Source organism: Homo sapiens, chromosome 7 (genome assembly GCF_000001405.40).
Source record: "Homo sapiens chromosome 7, GRCh38.p14 Primary Assembly".
Classification (NCBI taxonomy): Eukaryota; Metazoa; Chordata; class Mammalia; order Primates; family Hominidae; genus Homo; species Homo sapiens.
The window spans coordinates 116,446,786-116,466,493 of record NC_000007.14 but is presented as its reverse complement, the minus strand read 5'-3'; the positions used below and the strand labels follow the sequence as shown (position 1 = coordinate 116,466,493).

At 38.7% G+C, this 19,708-nt stretch overlaps 1 long non-coding RNA gene across 5 annotated transcripts in view, besides 2 other annotated features; it reads left to right on the top strand.

Moving 5' to 3' along the window:
- Positions 1 to 19,708, top strand: part of CAV2-DT (CAV2 divergent transcript) — an 83,411-nt gene that overhangs the window by 33,023 nt on the left and 30,680 nt on the right. The window lies entirely within an intron of this gene.
- Positions 17,733 to 18,060: a silencer, noted in NCBI's record as "conserved region 2 (CR2) negative regulatory element (NRE) in the greater CFTR locus". NCBI's record gives its function as "modestly represses an SV40 promoter coupled to the HS2 beta-globin enhancer in the reverse orientation in transfected K562 cells {active_cell/tissue: K562}" and the evidence as "EXISTENCE:reporter gene assay evidence [ECO:0000049][PMID:18436892]".
- Positions 17,733 to 18,060: an enhancer blocking element, noted in NCBI's record as "conserved region 2 (CR2) negative regulatory element (NRE) in the greater CFTR locus". NCBI's record gives its function as "modestly blocks activation of a gamma-globin promoter by the HS2 beta-globin enhancer when located between the enhancer and promoter in the forward orientation in transfected K562 cells {active_cell/tissue: K562}" and the evidence as "EXISTENCE:reporter gene assay evidence [ECO:0000049][PMID:18436892]".

The window sequence follows — 19,708 nt, the reverse complement described above, 5'->3', positions numbered from 1 at the left end:
AGTTATACCAAATAGTAAGCAATCTCCTCTCTCTGTCTCTCTCTCTCTCTCTCTCTCTCTCTCTCTCTCTCTCTCTCACACACACACACACACACATTAAATATTTTCTAGTATTTATATAGCATTTATACTTATAGATGTTATCTTAAACTTATTTTTGTTTTGTATGTGGTGTTAGTGTCAAATAATAATTGAACGTGACTTTCTTCTCTCCATTTTTCCTAAGTGGTTGAAATGATGGCTCACTGAACAATTACATTCTGATAAAATATTTATGGTTTTCTCTATTTTTCCTGCAGAGAGGAAAATATATTCCTGTGTGAGTATAATAATTTTATTCAGATGTATGTATTTAATACTTTTTCAAAATTTAGGAAGATTGGCAATTTCGAGTGCTGGTGGGGGTCTTTCTTCAAACGTCCATTGGGAAGAAAGTTCTACTTTTTTAAGGCATTTGGGTCAGTTCCTTCCCTCTAGACTTAGGGAATTAGTGACTAAAGATGGTTATTGTGGAAAAAGAAGATAAGAAAGGATGAGTCACTTGGTAGGCTTTTGACTCAGCATTTTTAGTTCATAGGTGATGTCCTAAGGCCTGAAAGCTTACTATAAATGAATAACTCAACTGACACATCTTTGGCTAATTTGAAATCTCTGGGCTTTTTAAGGTTACAATATCACCTTAGAAAATATTAGCATATGGTTGTAGCTAGTAGTTATTCCATGAAAATTATATTTTTCTGTTTTATACCTAAAAATGTTCCACATGTAAGAAATTGTTATATTTTTGCTTGGCATATCTTCTTTGTTGTTAAACTTTAAAAATATAATAAAAATTCATGAGCTATTTTTTCATTAAGGCAATCTTATATTTTAATCATGCATTTCATAGGAAACTTTTACAACTATTTTTAGAGCATTAATTATGCATTATGAAACTATCCTAAAATAAGGGTAAAACAATAGAGATGTTACTTACAATTCCTTTTATCCACAAAAAGAATAAGTTTTGGTAATTTGAGAACTTTGAAATGAAATCTTCATTTTCGGATAATGCTTAAGGCAGTATTAAGCAGAGGGCCAACTGCTTGAATTCAAAATTGAAGGGGAGTGAGAATTAAATTGTTCTGCATGAGAAATGCTGAGAGATACAGAAAGGAGTGAAAAAAAAGAGACCAGCAGAGAGATGGAGTGGTTGCTGGGAGAAATGAGTGGAGAGAGAGGGAAGATAGGTGATTGGGGGAGGAGAAGGGGGTTTGAGACTGTGAGAGGAACTAGCTGCTGAGAGTCCGAAGAGCCTGGGAAGAGGTAAGTCTAATGAGTAACATTTGAGTGAAGTGCTGGGCAATTCTGTGTCTCTTTATAAAATATTCCCTAAATGTACATTGGAATATAAAGTTTTTAAACATGTCAGGTTGGTTTGTGAAGCAGTGAAGAAGAGGACATGAAGAAAAGCTGTGTTATATAAGTAAAAATAATGCATAAATCTAGAAGTCTCCACAGTGTTCCCAGTTTTAATGAGGATGAAGAGCTATTTAAAATACTTAAAATATCTATAATGACATGAGGTGTTGTCATACATGCCATACTCTCTGATTCCTTGATTTGTTTAGCAAATGATTTAGAAAGACTAGCACATGATAACATAACTTTGGGGTTCAATATGAGTGAGTATGGAACATGACAAGTAATTATGAATCATTAATATGGAAATTTCTTCAACATCATTTAAGGGGCAGCATATTTTATAGCTCCTACTCTAGCAGGAATTATGCTTATTAAATGAGAAAATGAGATTGAATTTACAGAAGTGTCCATAGAACATGAACATGACTCAGAACTATTCTGTTGTATGAATATGCCATCATTTGTTTATCCATTCAAATATTGATATAACTTACTGAATAACGTGGGTTATTTCCAGTTTTGGGTTATGATGAATATAATTCCTATGAATCCTTACGTACAAATCCTTTTGCAGATACATGTTTTCATTTTTCTTGCGTAAAACAGGGGAAAGAATTGTTAGGTTATATGATGAATAGATGTTTAACTTCACATGAAAATGAAGAAAAGGCCAGGCATGGTGGCTCACGCCTGTAATCCCAGAACTTTGGGAGGCCAAGGCAAGAGGATCACTTCAGCTCAGGAGTTTTAGACCAGCCTGAGCAACATAGAGAGACCTCGTCTCTACAAAAAAAAAAAAAAAAAAAAAAGTAGCTGGGTATGGTGGCATGCACCTGTAGTCCCTGCTACTCAGGGAGGCTGAGGCGGGAGGATTGTTTGAGCTGGGTAGGTCAAGTTTGTGGTGAGATATGACATGTCATTGGACTCCAGCCTGGGCAACAGAGCAAGATCCTGTCTCAAACAAACAAACACACAAACAAAAAAAAACCAAAGAAAATACAAAACTGTTTTCCAGGTATTTGTACCATTTTACACTTTCAGCAACAGTGCACGAAAGTTTCAGTTGCTCCACATTCTTACCAGCATTTGGCATTGTAAGTATTTTTCATTTTGGCCATTCTCGTGGATGTGTAGTGGTATTTCACTGTGGTTTTAATTTGCATTTTTGATATGGTTTGGCTCTGTGTCCCCACACAAATCTCATCTCTAATTGTAATCACCACTTATTGAGAGAGGGACTTGGTGGGAGGTGACTGGATCAGGGAATGGTTTCCCCCATGCTGTTCTCATGATAGTGAGTAAATTCTCATGAGAGCTGATGGTTGAAAAAAGTGGCACTTCCTCCTTCAAGCATGCTCTCTCTCTTCCCACCTTGTGAGGAAGGTGCCTGCTTCTCCTTCACCTTCCGCCATGATTACAAGTTTCCCTAGGCCTCCCCAGCCATGTGGAACTGTGAGTCAATTAAAACTCTTTCCTTTATAAATCACCCAGTCTCAGCTAATATCTTTATAGCAGTGTGAGAATGGACTAATGTAATTTTCCTTATGATTAATGATGAACATCTTTTTATGTCCTTATTGGTGATTCATAAACTTTTTTTGTGTGTGAAATATCTGCTTAGTACTTGTCCTCTTTTTTTTTTAAAGTGGGTTGTTCATCTTCTAATCAAAACTTTAAAGTTCTAAATAAAATCTTGACACATGTATCTTGTCTGATATATATATGTATTGTGACTATTTTCTTCTAGTCTGTGGCTTGCCATTTCGTTTTCTTAATAATGTCTTCCAGAGAGCTTATGTTTCAAATTTTGTCCAACTTACCAATTTTCATTGATGGTGTATGCCTTTTGCATTTTTGCTAAAACGTCTTTGTCTACCCCAAAGTCCTGAATATTTTCTTATATATTTTCTTCTAAAAGTTTTTTTTTTTTTTTAGTTTTGGCTTTTACGTTTAAGTTTACAGTCTATTTCAAGGTAATTATTATTCATGGTGTAAGGTTCATGTTTTTCCATGGGCATATGCAGTTAATTTAGCACCATTTGTTAAAAAGAATTTTCTTTCCCATTGAGCTACCTTGCTGACTTTATTAAAAATAATTGCACATCTATGCGTGAGTCTCTTTCTGGGCACTCTTTTCTGTTCCATTAATTTATACATATATTCTTACTTCACTATCTCAAGTAATGTAGCTTTAACTCCTGAAATCTGGTTACATAAGTACTTCAACTTTGTTCTTTTTCAAAATTGTTTCAACTATTTACATTCTTTGTACACGCATGTACAAATATATGTATGTTTTTCACAAATATATAGTAATCTAAGATGTGTGTGTGTGTGTGTGTGTGTGTGTGAGAAAGAGAGAGAGAGAATCACCTTGTCAGTTTCTAAAAAAAAAGATCTATGGAATTCTTAACTGCAATTGTGTTGAATCTGTAGATCAATTTATGGAGAATGGGCATCTTAATAACATGGAGTCTTCCAACCAAGACACATGGTACATCTCCCCGTTTATTTTGACCTTTAATTTTTTTCAGCAGTGTTTTGCAGTTTGAAAGATCCAGCACATATTTTGTTAAATTTGTTTCTAAATGTTTTATGGTTTTGATGCTATTATACATGATAATTTAAAAATTTTAATTTTCCAATTATTTGCTTTGAATATGTAGAAATACAATTTATTTTTGTTAATTGACCTTGAATTAAAAGAACCTGATAAATTTACTCTTTACCTCTAGAGTTGTGTTGATTCCTTAGGATATTCTACATACACAAGCACAACATTGGCAAATAGCAACAGTTCTACTCCCTTCTCTACAATCTGTCTATATTTTATTTGTTTTTCTTGCCTTATGGTACTTTCAGTACTATGCTAATAGGAGTAATGTGAGTGAATGCATTTGTCTTATTCTTGATCCCAAGGGGAAGTGTTCAGTATTTCACTATTAACTACAATGTTAGCTGTGGGTTTTCATTAGAGGTACCTTATTAAATTGAGAACATTCCCTTCTATTCCTAGTTTTCTGAGAGTTTGGGCCCAGTGTTTAATTTTTTTAAGTGATTTTTCTTCACCTATTGAAATAATAATATGATTTTCTTCTTTATTCTGTTACTGTGGTTAATTATATCAATTGATTTTAAAATTTTGAGTCAGTCTTGCATCCCTGAGATAAATTCCACTTGGTCATAATGTAATATCTTTATTACATTTTGCTGGATTTGACTGGCTAATATTTGTTGAAAATTCTTGCTTCTCTATTCATGAGAGGTGTCATTCTGTTAATTTTGAGATTTCACAGTTTATTTCCTGCAGAATCTTCTGTCTTATTCTGCATAATCCATATGCTAATCTAGACCAGAATTTTTACTTTCTGTTTTAACTTGTAATTTCTGTGCATCCTATGCTTCCCCCCTAGTGTTTAATGCTGGATGTTGCTTTTTTCAAAAAGTTGATTTTATCTTTTCTTATTACCAGTTGCAGAAAGTTCACAATCTCTATTAATGTATTTGCTCAAAGTTTACATTGAGAATTAAGATTTTCATTCTAAGAACTTCAACCTCTTCCTTATATGTTTGAGCCAGAATTTCTTAAGATGTATTATACATAATAACTTTCATATCTGATACGAGATATTTTCACTTGGTTTGTTACATAATTACTTAAATGTTTCCCTCCTTTTCCTCAGATCTGATTATCTTTTTTTCCCAGTATTTTCTGTTATTGGAAACTCCATACATTTTATTACCCAAATCAGAAAAATGTGGTTCTCTCTGTCACTCTCTATTTTGGATCTGTAACTAAATCTTGCCAATTCTATACCTTAAAAATCTCTCAAATCCATCTCCTTTCTTCTCTCTGTCATTGGATTCATATGCACAACATTTTTCTTCTGGATTTCTGAAATCATATTCTGACTGATTGCATTTCTACTTTTCTTTTCTTTTCTTTTCTTTTTTGTGAGCAACATGGCTGTTTATTTCACCTGGGTGCAGGTGGGCTGAGTCCGAAAAGAGAGTCAGGGAAGGGAGATAGGGGTGGGGCCGTTTTATAGGATTTGGGAAGGCAATAGAAAATTACAGTCAAAGGGGGTTGTTCTCTGGTGGGCAGGGGTGGGGGGGTCACAAGGTGCTCAGTGGGGGAGCTTCTGAGCCAGGAGAAGGAAATTCACAGGGTTAATCACTCAGTTAAGGTGGGGCAGGAACAAATCACAATGGTGGAATGTCATCAGTTAAGGCGGGGCAGGGCCTTTTTACTTCTTTTGTGATTCTTCAGTTACTTCAGGCCATCTGGGCATATACGTGCAAGTCACAGGGGATGCGATGGCTTAGCTTGGGCTCAGAGGCCTGACATTCCTGCCTTCTTATATTAATAAGAAAAATAAAACAAAATAGTGTTGAAGTCTTGGGGTGGCGAAAATTTTTGGGGGGTGGTATGGAGAGAGAATGGGCGATGTTTCTCAGGGCTGCTTCAAGCGGGATTAGGGGCAGCGTGGGAACCTAAAGTGGGAGAGATTAAGCTGAAGGAAGATTTTGTGGTAAGGGGTGATATTGTGGGGTTGTTAGAAGAAACATTTGTCGTGTAGAATTATTGGTGATGGCCTGGATACAGTTTTGTATGAATTGAAAAACTAAATGGAAAAGATCTAAGAATTGGGAGGACCTAGGACATCTGATTAGAGTGCCTAAGGAGATTCAGCATAGTCCTGCCAGCAAAGATTATTTATTTACTTCAGGAGTTAAGAGTGGCAGTTTGGGGATAGCACGAGGAGATATCAGCTGTAATGGCTTGGAGAAACAGTGTAAACTGGCAGTGTAAACAAGAGCAGGGCATGCATGAGTAGTTGAGAACGGAGAATAGGAGTATGACCAGACAGAAAATAGTAGGGATGACAAGTTTTTTGGGGCACAGTCTAAGTTGGTCTGGTGTCTGGAATGAGACTGGGGCCTAATAAAAAGGAGCGTATACACAGGAGCTTAAATGGGCTGTACCTTGTAGGATTCTGAGGACAGGTCTGACTTCTGAGAAGGGAAAGTGGTAAAAGTATTGTCCAGTCCTTTTTAAGTTGGTGGCTGAGCTTGGTGAGGTGTGTTTTTAATAGACCATTAGTCTGTCACTGAATACCAAGAGCCTGAAAAAATGCTTGGCTGATTTGACTAATAAAGGCTGGTCTGTTATCAGACTCTATAGAGGTGGGAAGGCTAAACTGAGGAATTATGTCTGACAGAGGGGAAGAAATGACTGTGGTGGCCTTCTCAGACCCTGTAGGAAAGGCCTCTACTTATCTAGTGAAAGTGTCTACTTAGACTAAGAGGTATTTTAGTTTTTGTGACTCAGGGCATGTTGAGTAAAGCTAATTTGCCAGTCCTGGGCTGAGGCAAATCCTCGAGCTTGATGTGTAGGGAAGGGAGGGGGCCTGAATAATCCTTGAGGAGTAGTAGAATAGCAGATAGAACAGCAGATGGAACACTGAAAAGTTATTTCCTTGAGGATAGATTTCTACGATGGAAAGAAAATGAGAGGTTTTAAGAGGTGGGCTAGTGGCTTGTACTATAGTATAGCCTGCCTTCGCTGGTGTGTGGCGATTAGGCCTGGTGGAACTGCCATCAATAAATCAAGGGTGATCAGGGTGAGGAACAGGAAAGAAGGAAATATGGGGAAATGGGGTGAATGTCAGGTGGATCAGAGAGATACAGTCATGGAGGTCAGATGTGGTATCAGGAATAATGCGGGAGGCCAGATTGAAGTCCGGGCCAGGAACAATGGTAATTTTGGGACTTAACAAAGAGTGAGTACAGCTGAAGGAGCCGGGGAGCAGAAAGTATATGCATCAGGTATGAGGAAGAAAATAGATTTTGGAAGTTATGAGAAATGTAGAGAGTGAGTTGAGCATAGTTTTGTGATTTTTAGGGCCTCTAAAAATACTAAAGCAGCTGCAGCCACTGCACGCAGACATGAGGGCTAGGCTAAAACAGTAAGGTCAAGTTGTTTGGACAGAAAGGCTACAGGGTGCGGTCCTGGCTCTTGTGTAAGAATTCTGACCGCACTAACCATGCCTAGGAAGGAAAGGAGTTGTTGTTCTGTAAGGGATTGAGGTTTGGGAGATTAATCGGACATGATCAGCAGGGAGAGCACGTGTGTTTTTATGAGAATTATGCTGAGATAGGTAACAGATGAGGATGAAATTTTGGCTTGACTGAAGTAATGGGGGCTGTCTGTGAAGCCTTGCAGCAGTACAGCCGAGGTAATTTGCTGAGCCTAATGGGTGTCAGGGTCAGTCTAAGTGAAAGCAAAGAGAGGCTGGGATGAAGGGTGCAAAGGAATAGTAAAAAAAAAGCATATTTGAGATCCAGAACAGAATAATGGGTAGTAGAGGGAGGTATTGAGGATGGGAGAGTATATGGGTTTGGCACCATGGGGTGGATAGGCAAAACAATTTGGTTGATAAGGCGCAGATTCTGAACTAACTTGTAAGCCTTGTCTGGTTTTAGGACAGGTGAAATGGGGGAATGGTAAGGAGAGTTTATAGGCTTTAAAAGGCCATGCTATAGCAGGCGAGTGATAACAGGCTTTAATCCTTTTAAAGCCTGCTGTGGGATGGGATCTTGACATTGAGCAGGGTAAGGGTGATTAGGTTTTAATGAGATGGTAAGGGGTGCATGATCGGTCGCCAAGGAGGGAGTAGAGGTATCTTATACTTGTGTGTTAAGGTGGGGGGATACAAGAGGAGGACGCAAAGGAGGCTTTGGATTGGGGAGAAGGGCAGCAATGAGATATAGCTATAGTCCAGGAATAGTCAGGGAAGCAGATAATTTAGTTAAAGTGTCTCAGCCTAATAAGGGAACTGGGCAGGTGGGGATAACTAAAAAGGAGTGCTTAAAAGAGTATTGTCTAAGTTGGCACCAGAGTTGGGGAGTTTTAAGAGGTTTAGAAGCCTGGCCGTCAATACCCACAACAGTTATGGAGGCAAGGGAAACAGGCCATTGAAAAGAAGGTAATATGGAGTGGGTAGCCTCCGTATTGATTTAGAAGGGGTATTGATTTAGAAGGGGACGGGCTTACTTTCCACTGTGAGAGTTACCTAAAGCTCGGCGTCCGTGATGGGTTAGGGGGCTTCCGAGGCGATTGGGCAGTGTCAGTCTTCAGCCACTAAGCCAAGAAGATCTGGGAAGGAGTCAGTCAGAGAGCCTTGGGCCAGAGTTCCAGGGGCTCTGGGAGTGGCTGCCAGGTGAGTTGAACAGTTCGATTTTCAGTGGGGTCTCACACAGATGGGACGCGGCTTAGGAGGAATCCTGGGCTGCGGGCATTCCTTGGCCCAGTGGCCAGATTTCCGGCACGTGTAGCAAGCTCCTGGGGGAGGAGGTTCTGGAGGAACGCCTGGCTGCTGCAGTTCAGGTGTTTGGAAGTTCTTGTGTGCTGGAGATGTGGCTGGGGTTTGTCTCACAGTGGAGGCAAGGAATTGCAACTTTTTTCTATTATTGTACACCTTGAAGTTGAGGTTAATTAAGCCCTGTTGTGGGGTTTGAGGGCCAGATTCTAATTTTTGGAGTTTTATTTAATATCTGGAGCAGATTGGGTAATAAAATGTATATTGAGAATAAGATGGCCTTTTGACCTTTTAGGGTCTAGGGCTGTAAAGCGTCTCAGGGTTGCTGCCAAATGAGCCATGAACTGGGCTGGATTTTTATATTTGATGAAAAACAGCCTAAATGCTATCTGATTTGGGATAAAGAAAAAGGAGCATTAACCTTGACTATGCATTTAGCTCCAGCCACCTTTTTAAGAATAAATTGCTGGGCAGGTGGGGGAGGGCTAGTCACGGAAGGAAACTGTAAGCCGGACCAGGTGTGAGGAGGGGAGGCGATAAAAAGATTATAGGGTGGAGGAGCAGAGGCTGAGGAAGCATTGGGACCTAGCTCGGCCTGGCGAGGAGGGGAGAGGTCAGATGGGTCTGTAGAAAAGGAAGATTAGAAAGACTCAGCGACGCTTGGGGTTGGGACTGAGGGGACAGGCGGGAGGGAAAGAAGGAAGATTTGGGACGAGTTGCACTGGGCACAGAGACTAGGAAGGGACTGATGTGTAAAAGAATGCCTGGATGTCAGGCACCTCAGACCATTTGCCCATTTTACGACAAGAATTATTTAGATCTTGTAGGATGGAAAAATTGAAAGTGCTGTCGAGTTTGTATTGGGGTCAAGCGGCATTGCAGAAGAAAATAAGGCATTTACGTTTTAGGTCAGGTGTGAGTTGAAGAGGTTTTAAGTTCTTGAGAACACAGGCTAAGGGAGAAGAAGGAGGAATGGAGGGTGGAAGGTTGCCCATAGTGAAGGAGGCAAACCCACAGAAAAGAGAGTGTAGAGACACGGAGGGAAGGGTTTTGGGGGTTCTTACCCTCCAGAAAAGCAGGAAGGGGGGTTGGGGCACGGAAATAAGGGATTGGGGCACAGAGATAAGAGGTTGGGGTGTGGAAATAAGGGATTGGGTGTTCTTGCCCCCTAGAAAAGTGGGACTTGCCGCTAAGGGTGAAGGAGAAGGGGTTGAGGGGTACTTGCCCCTCCCCCAGAAAAGCGGGACTTGCCGCTAAGGGTGGAGGACCAAGGCAGGCATCCCTGCGTGGTCTGACACCTTTGAAACGTGGGTGAATAATCAGAGAGGCGCCCTGCATTGATTAAACACCAAGGGAAGGCTGCCTTCCCAGTCCGTGACCGGCGCCGGAGTTTTGGGTCCACAGATAAAACCTGTCTCCTTTGTCTCTACCGGAAAATGAAAGGAATTGAAATTAAGAGAAGGGAGAAATTGAAGTGTGGCACCAAGATTGAAAGGAGAAAGAGGTTGAGGGATAGTGAGGGAAGTTGGAGAAGAGAGTAAAAAGAGGCTGCTTACCAGATTTGAAATTGGTGAGATGTTTCTTGGGCAGGTCGGTCTGAGGACCTGAGGTCATAGGTGGATCTTTCTCACGGAGCAAAGAGCAGGAGGACAGGGGATTGATCTCCTAAGGGAGGTCCCCTGATCCACTAAATTTCATGCGCGTCCGTGTGAAGAGACCACCAAACAGGCTTTGTGTGAGCAACATGGCTGTTTGTTTCACCTGGGTGCAGGTGGGCTGAGTCCGAAAAGAGAGTCAGCCACATTTCTACTTTTCAACCTGCCCTTCACTTTGCCTCTAGATTGACTTTTCTGAAAAGCAAATTTACTTTTCTGCTTAAGATTTAGTGTCCCTTTTTGCCTTTAGAAAAAAACATGAACTCTTTAGTACAATTCCCAAATTATTAAAGACCTGTTTCCTATTAAAAAATATCCAAAATGGATTTGAGTTGAAAACAAATTCCACATAAGTTAGCAAAGTGAAAAACTGTAACAGCTTCTGTGCAATAACCTGAGTCAACATTTCCCCGACTGTGGCATGACTGAGACTTTCACACTTCTGCACAACTAAGAGAACCATCTTATTCCCACTTTTGCATGGGCCAGTAATTACATACTTGATTAAAAAAAAAAAACTTTGTTAAAATATTCACATTTCTTTGGCTCTACATCTGTTTTCATTTGTGTGAGGCAAAAAGTCCCATGATTGTAATGGAAAACTTGTTATTAATCATATTCATATAGAAAATTAGGCTGCATCTGATGAAATGCCAATGATTGGAATTAAACAATTGTTTTAGCTCAAATGTGTCTTCATTACTAGTGCCTTACCCTGGTTCTCAAGTCAGAAATGATCCACTCTTCTTTTGTGCTCTGAAAGCCCCTTGAACCTCACATTGCTTTACTTTGCAGCTAATTGTTTCTATATCTGTTTTCACAAAAGTTTGAGTTTTTGAGGCAAGGATGTTTTGCTATTTGCTCATAATGTGTCATGCAAAGTCTGGCTCAAAGACAGAACTTCATAAATGTGACTCAAATTCATGCTAAGACTAAAATTGTAAGTATAGACACGGAGCTGTTATGAACATGAACATTACAGAATGCCAGCTTTGGAACCTCTGGAAGACAATTATGTGACTCCTCGTTCTCCAAATTCAGAGTCTCATGGATCAAATTCATGTCATTATTAGAAATGCAAAAGCAAGAATATAAAAATTAGCTTCCTGGATGAGTGTTTCTTAGACTTTGGTACTTGTTTATATTTAAGTCATTTTTACTGCAGTTTCAGAGGGTGATGCTCATGTCTTGCCAGCAAAGCCAATATTCTTTTGGTGTTTTTATTATCTTAGACCCCAAGTATTTGATTTTGTTATGTTATCTTTTTTTTTAATGTTTGCTATCGTTGGCTTAATTTAACAAAAGAAAATTTTTTTATTTTTCATTTTGTCTTGCAATAACTGTAAAGTAGATTAAATCAAGTTTTTTCATATGGGTAGAGAAAAATTTTAATGAGCAATTTGAAATACATTTTTGCATATGGCCAACATATTTAAAATCTTCATTTGCTTTTTACTTTAATCTTGGATATAAAAAAAAGGCATCATAAAAGCAGAATCTTAACAGATGCATGATCCTCACATACGGTTTATGAGCACAGATCGCAAATGAGTAATACTAATTTGTTTATTATTTCCATCCCTGTGGAAACTTTGATGAATAGAAAGTTAAATCATGAAACAATTGTCACTTTCTCAAAAATAAGCAATTTATATTATAGTGCAAAAAATAAATATGCAAATGTATTTGAGGCATAACACTATTCAGATTTGTCTGAAACTTTTCTACCTACATCAATATCTTCTTTCATAAATTTAATTGTTAAAGACAGTAAAATAGAACTTCTAGAACATGTTATTCAGGCATATTAATCTAGAGTAAAAACATGCAGATCAGGTAGGCTCTTATTTAGTATCAAGATGAAACAATAAGATTTAAACAAACTATGATATTTTGGAAATTCTTCTTTTATTTATTTTTTGAACACTTATTAACTGCACAATCTTGGGCAAGTCTCCCCATTGTCTCTCTGAGTCTGTATTTTTACCTGTCACATAAAAACATGTCAGCCTTGCCCACCTTAATAAATCCAGGAAATATTTATTTAGCTCTTTTATGGGACATACACTGTTCCAGGCAGTTATGTTTCATAACAGAAGGGATACAGATGTGTAAGGAGACACTAATAAACATAAATAAATGAACATCACAATAAATAAGTGATGTGGGGAAAAACAGTAGGGTAAAGGCAGAAAGCTTCTGGTGGGAAGAGTAGGCTTATTGCAGCTTAAAATAAAATTGTCGCCGGGCACGGTGGCTCACACCTGTAATCCCAGCACTTTGGGAGGCTGAGGCGGGCGGATCACGAGGTCAGGAGATTGAGACCATCCTGGCTAACACGGTAAAACCCCGTCTCTACTAAAAATACAAAAAGAAATTAGCAGGGGGCGGTGGCGGTCGCCTGTAGTCGCAGCTCCTGGGGAGGCTGAGGCAGGAGAATGGCCTGAACCCGGGAGGCGGAGCGTGCAGTGGGCCGAGATCGCGCCACTGCACTCCAGCCTGGGCAACAGAGTGAGACTCCGTCTGAAAAAAAAAAGAAAAGAAAAGAAAAAAAATTGTCAGGGTAGGCTCCATTGAGTAGGTGGCATTTGAGAAAAAATTCAAGAGATGTAAAGGATCAGCCACCAGCAAAGAGCACTCCAGGCTGGGGGAGTCACCAGGGCAAAGGCCCTAGGGATTATCTGGTGTCAGCAGAGTCGTGAGGAGGCCAGCGTGGCTAGAATGGAGTCAAGGGGAAAGCCATGGAAATCAGAGAGGTAATGAGGACTCAGGTACAGCCTAATCATGTAAAGTCTTGTAAGCCACGATAAGAAATTTGCTTTTATTCCAGGGGGAGATGGGAAGACTTGGAAAGGTCTGAGGAGGAAGGAGATGATTTTAATTGAGTTTTAAAAGGATGACTTTGACTACTGTCTTGAGAGTTTACTATAGAGGGCAAGATGGAAGGAAGGAGACCAGTTAGGAGGCTACTAGAGTGATCTGAGAGAGATGATGTTGGCAAACAGACTCGGGTTGCTAGGGTTGGGAGTCAGGCGAAGTTCTTGAATTGTAGATATATTTGCAAGGCAAAGCCAACAACATCCCCTGATAGACTGGAGGGATGTGAGAAGAATTGAAGAGTCAGAGGGGCTCAAATATTTTGACCTGAGCAACTAGAATGGTGGAGCTGACATCAACTCCTACAGGGAAACTGCAGGTGGAGTAAGTTTTGAGGCGGAACATCAGAAACTCAGTGTTGGTCATGTTAAGATTGAGATATCTTTTAGGAAAACCTAAATTATGTTATAGTTAAAAGTCCCAAGCTGTGAATGGCTTAACATAGCACAGGATTTCTTCTCACTGAGGATACATATCAAACATGAGTGTTGGGAGCTCTGCTTCATACATATACTCAGGCATCAGAGCTGATGGAAACATCACCATATTGTAACTGTGTCTGAAACACATGGCTTGCAGGTTACACAGCAGGGAGATAAAAGAACTGGAGAGTCACACATTGGTTTCTAATATATCAGTCCAGAAGTGACACCAATCACTTTCTCTCATAGCCCGTTGACTAAGGCCAAAGCTATTCATATGGTGCCACCTAACTGCAAGGAGGAAGGAAATACAGACTCTGATATAGGAGCAGGCCAGGTGATAGGCCTGTCTGTATCATATAAGTTTGAGAGTGGTTGACCATGTGGATAGTATTTAAGTCAAAGAGATTGTAAAATCACCAGGGATTGAAAAGAATTAAAGAAGCGGAAGAACAGTTGAGCCATGGGGTACTCCAATGTTGGGAGGTCTGGGAGAGGAAGAAAAAACAGTAAAGGAGACTGGCAAGGGCCATCTGGTGAGGTAGGAAGAAAGTCAGGAGACCAAGGTGCCTGGAATTCAAGTGAAGAAAGGGCATCAAGGAGGAGAGATTGAAGGACTATGACAGATATTGCTGATATTTCCAGTAAGGTGAGAACTGAGAATTGACCATTGCATCAGCCAGGGGGAGCTCATTGGTGTTCTCCACATTTTTGGAAGCCTGACATGGATTTAGGGGAGAATGTAAAGAGAGGAATTTGAAACAATTGGAGTAGGTTTAGGCAACTCTTTCTGAGAACATTTGATATAAATGATGAGGAAAAACAAGAATGGTTGCTAAAAAAGAAGCAGGACCAAGAACAAGGTTTTAAAGTTTTTTTTAAATGGGAGAAATAGTAGTACATGTGTATCTTAATGGATAGAGAGAGAAAAATGGATGCTGCAGGAGAGGGGGTGAAACTTGCTGATATAATGTTCTTTAAATTTTTTTAAAGTTAAAAGTTTTCATTTTTGTGGGTACATTGTAGGTGTATGTATTTCTGGGGTACATGAGACGTTTTGATACAGGCAAGCAATAATAATCACATCATGAAGAATGGGGTATCTATCCTTGAAATGATATTCTTGACCAAGAGGAAGTAGATGTGTCTACAGCACAAGTGGAAGAATTGATTGGCTTTAGCTGGGAGCATGGAGAGCGCATCTGTAGTGACAAGCAGGAAGGCAGAATTAAAGACGAGATATGGGAATGGGAGTCTGTAAATCTGGTGAAGCTTGTGTGCCATGTCTATGGGAGCTGTGCCTCTGATTTGGCATGAACACCGAATGAAATAAATTCTAAATTAATGGACAGATATGTGTTATTATTAATTTGCGATTAGCTTTTAATAGCTTAGTATTAGCAAAAACTGAGGCTGGCAATAAAAAGCCCATAAGAAACTGGCAGGCCAGGCATATCTGGAAGAAGATACAGCCTATCTACTGGCTCTCGGCCACAGAAGAGTGTGCAGGCTTTCTGGACCAATCACACCTGCAGAGATGATACTCACCAGAGGAACATGAGTAGAGTGAGGGAGGGTTATCCTGAATTATTCTCATAGAAAGATGGATTTGGAATTGAAGTGGTATAGTCCTACACACCTCCAGTGCTAGGCTGCCTATGTTTGCCCATAAATTCACCTAGAGCCAATAGTTACAAGAATTTGTTAACTCAGTCACTTGGGTCTCATTTAGGTGTGTCACTTGTAGGCAAGCTGCAGCCTTCTTACTGGCCAGTGCTTTGGGAATCTGAGAGCTACATTTAGGAGAACTGCATCTTCCAAATTATATCATTTACATTTTTACCTAATAAACAGAATGTTATGTAATAATAATTATATAACATTATAGGTTCAGTATATCAATTTTAATATTATTACTTTCTGTAATAATATTTGTAATATTATTTGGTATATTAATAATGTAATATTATTACATTCTGTTCTGTAATAATAATTAATGCCTTCCTAATATGGCGTGAATTTAACTCTCTGAGGCCCGAGTGCTACCCAGGATTTGACAGGCTAGTGACATTTCTGTTGTTTTAGGGATTGATTATTATTTCCTTTTGGAACAAAGTTGAACTATGCAGAGATATGTTTTGTCCTGTGTGTGTGTGTGTGTGTGTGTGTGTGTGTGTGTGTGCATATTTCTGACTAATTCTAATTGGCAATAATTGACCAATTAACTCTATGAATCACTGGAACTTTTCTACCTTTTTGGATCTATGAAACCGTTTTATCTTAAATTAGTAGATGCTATATCGTGAAGATGCCGTGTTCTGGAAAATCAAGCTATTTTGCTTCTATAGTTCTTAAACATGTCCAAGGGATATTACCAATCACAGAAGCACAGAACTATCCAGAGCATTTCTGTGCTGTAGAGATTTGCACTCAGAGGAGTGAAGGAAAAGATTTTAGAGGCCATGTGGTTGCCCATTGCCATCATTTGTGTTGCCCAAAGAAGGGAAAGGACTGTGAAATAGAATTGCCAGTGGAAACTCTCTCTGGTCTTGTCAGCAAGCTTTTTACGAAAAACACAGTCCATTCTTCCACTCCAGACCTTTTAACAGGATAACAATTGACCAACTGCCAGGATTTATTGGCCGGAATAGAAACAGACATCACCATGTCATAACACAGTCCTAAATAGGAACTTCTACATTCTTTCTATGCAGGTTCTGCATTTTTCAGGCATTTGCCTTACTTCCCCACCATGCGTATCAAACGTAAATTGATATGCTGAACCTACAGAGATGTTTGAAGGCTTTTATTTTTTCTTATATGCATTTAGAATTTTGCAAACATAATACATGCCCATTTAAAAAAATAAAATATGGAAAAATTTGTAATAACATTAGCTCCTTGCCCCATCTTCTCCTACATGTAATTCTGTTTCCCAGAGACAACAGTTTTTTTTTTCCCTAAGTGTTTCTGTCTCAAACTTCTTTCATACCTCAACTTCATAAATCTACATGCTATGTATACTATGCCACTATTTCTTAATTTTGCACTTTGGTGTAATTTATTGACTTTCTGATGTAATCGATGGAGATTTAGCAGTGTTATGTCCTCCACACCATTGCTACCCCCACCGTCACCCTCCAGCTTTGTTATAGCACTGTTCTAGCAGTACTTTATGACTTCTTGGCTATTTGTGTATCTACTGATAATAGACAGTATCTCTAGGCTTCTCAGTCCATAAAAGGACAATAGTGATTTAAACTAATTTAAACTCTTGTTTTAAACTTTCTTCCTTGTTTCCATTTCCTAATTTACATCACTTATACTTTCACGTATACACGTCAAGTTTAAAAGCATTTGCATTCTGTTCTACACCCATAATTAACACCTTTCTGATGTATACGTAGGTTGACTTTCAAGAGTTGAAAACGAACACATTCTGGGCTGTGACTTTTTTTCTGGATAACTTCACTAGTTATCCCACCTCATTCTACTTTTTGCCTCCTGTAACTTCATTTAAAACTCTTATTTGCTGATAGTCCATCTCCAGTTCTTTCTTTTTTGTGATTCTATGTTTTCTCTATATCTTTACTTTTGAAAAGATCTAGAGAAGAAAAGAGGATAAACAAATGTGCTCAGTCCACCATCTTGCACCACTCCTTTTGAATTTGATTTTCTTCCCGGTACATGTGCAACAGAAGAAATGTGTTGTACCAGTAATTATCTAGTTAGGCTTTCATGTTTTCAGTAATGTACTACTGAAACTATGTTATATACATATGCATATACATATACATACACATATACATATACATAATCATTTCATTTCTGCAGTTTAACATTTTATTACTGCTTTAAATTTAGGAAGGAAAGTGGTTCTAATTCAAAACTCTCTGAGATAGCAAATAGAGAAGGCAAACACATGGTTTGGGAAATTTGAAGAAGCATGTAAGAACTGACCATTGATTTTAATTCAGTCTTTTCACTCTGTTAACCTTAAAAATATTGAAAACAAAAGCACTTTCTTTTAAAGCATTGGCATGATATCTTGATTCCTTATTTTGTCTCCTTTTCCAATCACAGTTTACAATACACCTGGCAGGCAATACCCCATTTTGATATCTTCATCTGCACTGCAGGATAAGATAGCAACATGCTTTCCTTTTGCCTCTGCCTTCTGTAAAGTCTGGTTTACAGTTTTAATAACTCCTTGGAACAAGTTACTGTACAACATAAACATATATTCCTGTTTATTCAGAGTGACGGTTTTGTTATTATTGTATTATAAAAACAATTGTGATTCTAAATAAAATATACCCGTAAATTAAAACTCAGGGATCAACTTAACTATAATATATACACAATTTAAGGTCCCCAAAATTTTATTTCACAAAATTCATCTAGCCTGAAATAGTTGCTTATAACTCAGGCAATGTCTGCATGATTCATTTTTTAAGTACATAAAATTTATATCTCCCTGTTTTCTTACTCATCTCTAGCAGGATGATCTTTTTGAATATTCTCATTATCCCTTTGTGAGCTCAGGGAGTGCCCTGATGCCCCAGCCGGCCTCACTGCTTTGTCCTGGACTGAAAATGGCCTTTGGAAAAGATAACTTCAAAAAAAGAGAGATAATGCAGCTTAATGGTGAAAGGGTTTGGCTTGGAGGCCAGGCATTGAGTGCCAGTCCTGGCTTAATACCTTTCTGGCTGGGTGACCTGGAACACTTGACTTATTCTCTCAAAGCTTGTGAAATGGGAATAATAATAATAATAATACTTACCTCATAGAGACATCAAGAGGCTAAAATAAAATAATGCATGGGAAAACAGCAAAATGTTGACATACTAAGTACACATTAATATTGTTTATTTTTATTCTTACTAATTTGACTTGTTAATGATTCAAAAGTATTAATCCTGTGTAAGCACACAGAAATACCTACATATGAACTTGTCCTTAAGTTTTTGAGGATCTAAAATGCATTCTGAGGGAGCTTTTCAGTATGAGGAACTTTTCCTTATTTCACTTTAGAGGTATGATTTGTATTTTAGGAATTGTTTGCACAGTATGCAGACAGAAATACTGAGCCCAACTTTTACTTTTTCTTCAAGTAGGACGTCAAGTTTGTATATAGTTTATTCATATCTAAATCCCTGTTTTTATTAAGTTGCCTTCAGTGTCTTGACATAAAGATTAGTTTCATAAAACTTGAGCTGTCTAGTTAAACCTGTTTAATGTTTACTTTGCATAGCAAGCAAATCCCTATATTTCTAAGAGGGAAGTTTGTGTGCCCCTAACTAGGCAAAGAAGAAAAGATGAGTTAGGGGTAGGGGAAATACTAAAGACTCGATTTTATTATTATTATTATATTAATTATTTAAAAAGAGTTTTAAAATTTTGATAGCTTTTGGGGAACAAGTGATTTTTGGTTACATGGATGAATTGTATAGTGGTGAAATCTGAGATTTTAGTGTACCTGCCACCTGAACAGTGTATGTGGTAATCAATATGTAATTTTCTTCCCTCGCCCTCCTCTTACCCTCCCTCTTCTGAGTCTCCAATGGCCATTATACCACTCTGTCTGCCTTTGCGTACCCATAACTTAAAGACTCGATTTTAGTCCTGACTCTTCTGCCAGCTTTCTTAAGTCAGTTCGTGAACTGACTTAAATCAATTCTTGTACACTTATCCTGTACTATGTTTCAGGAACTGAAGTAGAGAGACAAATAAAATCCCTTTCCTTAGAAAACACACACAGCTTGGTTTGGAAGGCTGGTAAGTACAATCCAGTGTCTGTGACAATACGTAAACAATGTGACAATACACACATCACCAAAAGGGGGTTTGGGACAGGATGCTTATGTCCTGGAGGAAGGGATATCCTACTATATATATAAGACACCTTGGCAGAGGTGGATGCAAGTTTAGTGGGGTCTGAAGCTTATACAAATTTTTTGTGTATGTGGGGAGAGAGGGAGTGGTTTAAAATAAAATGAAAAAAATTAAGTACATGGCTTTGGAAGAG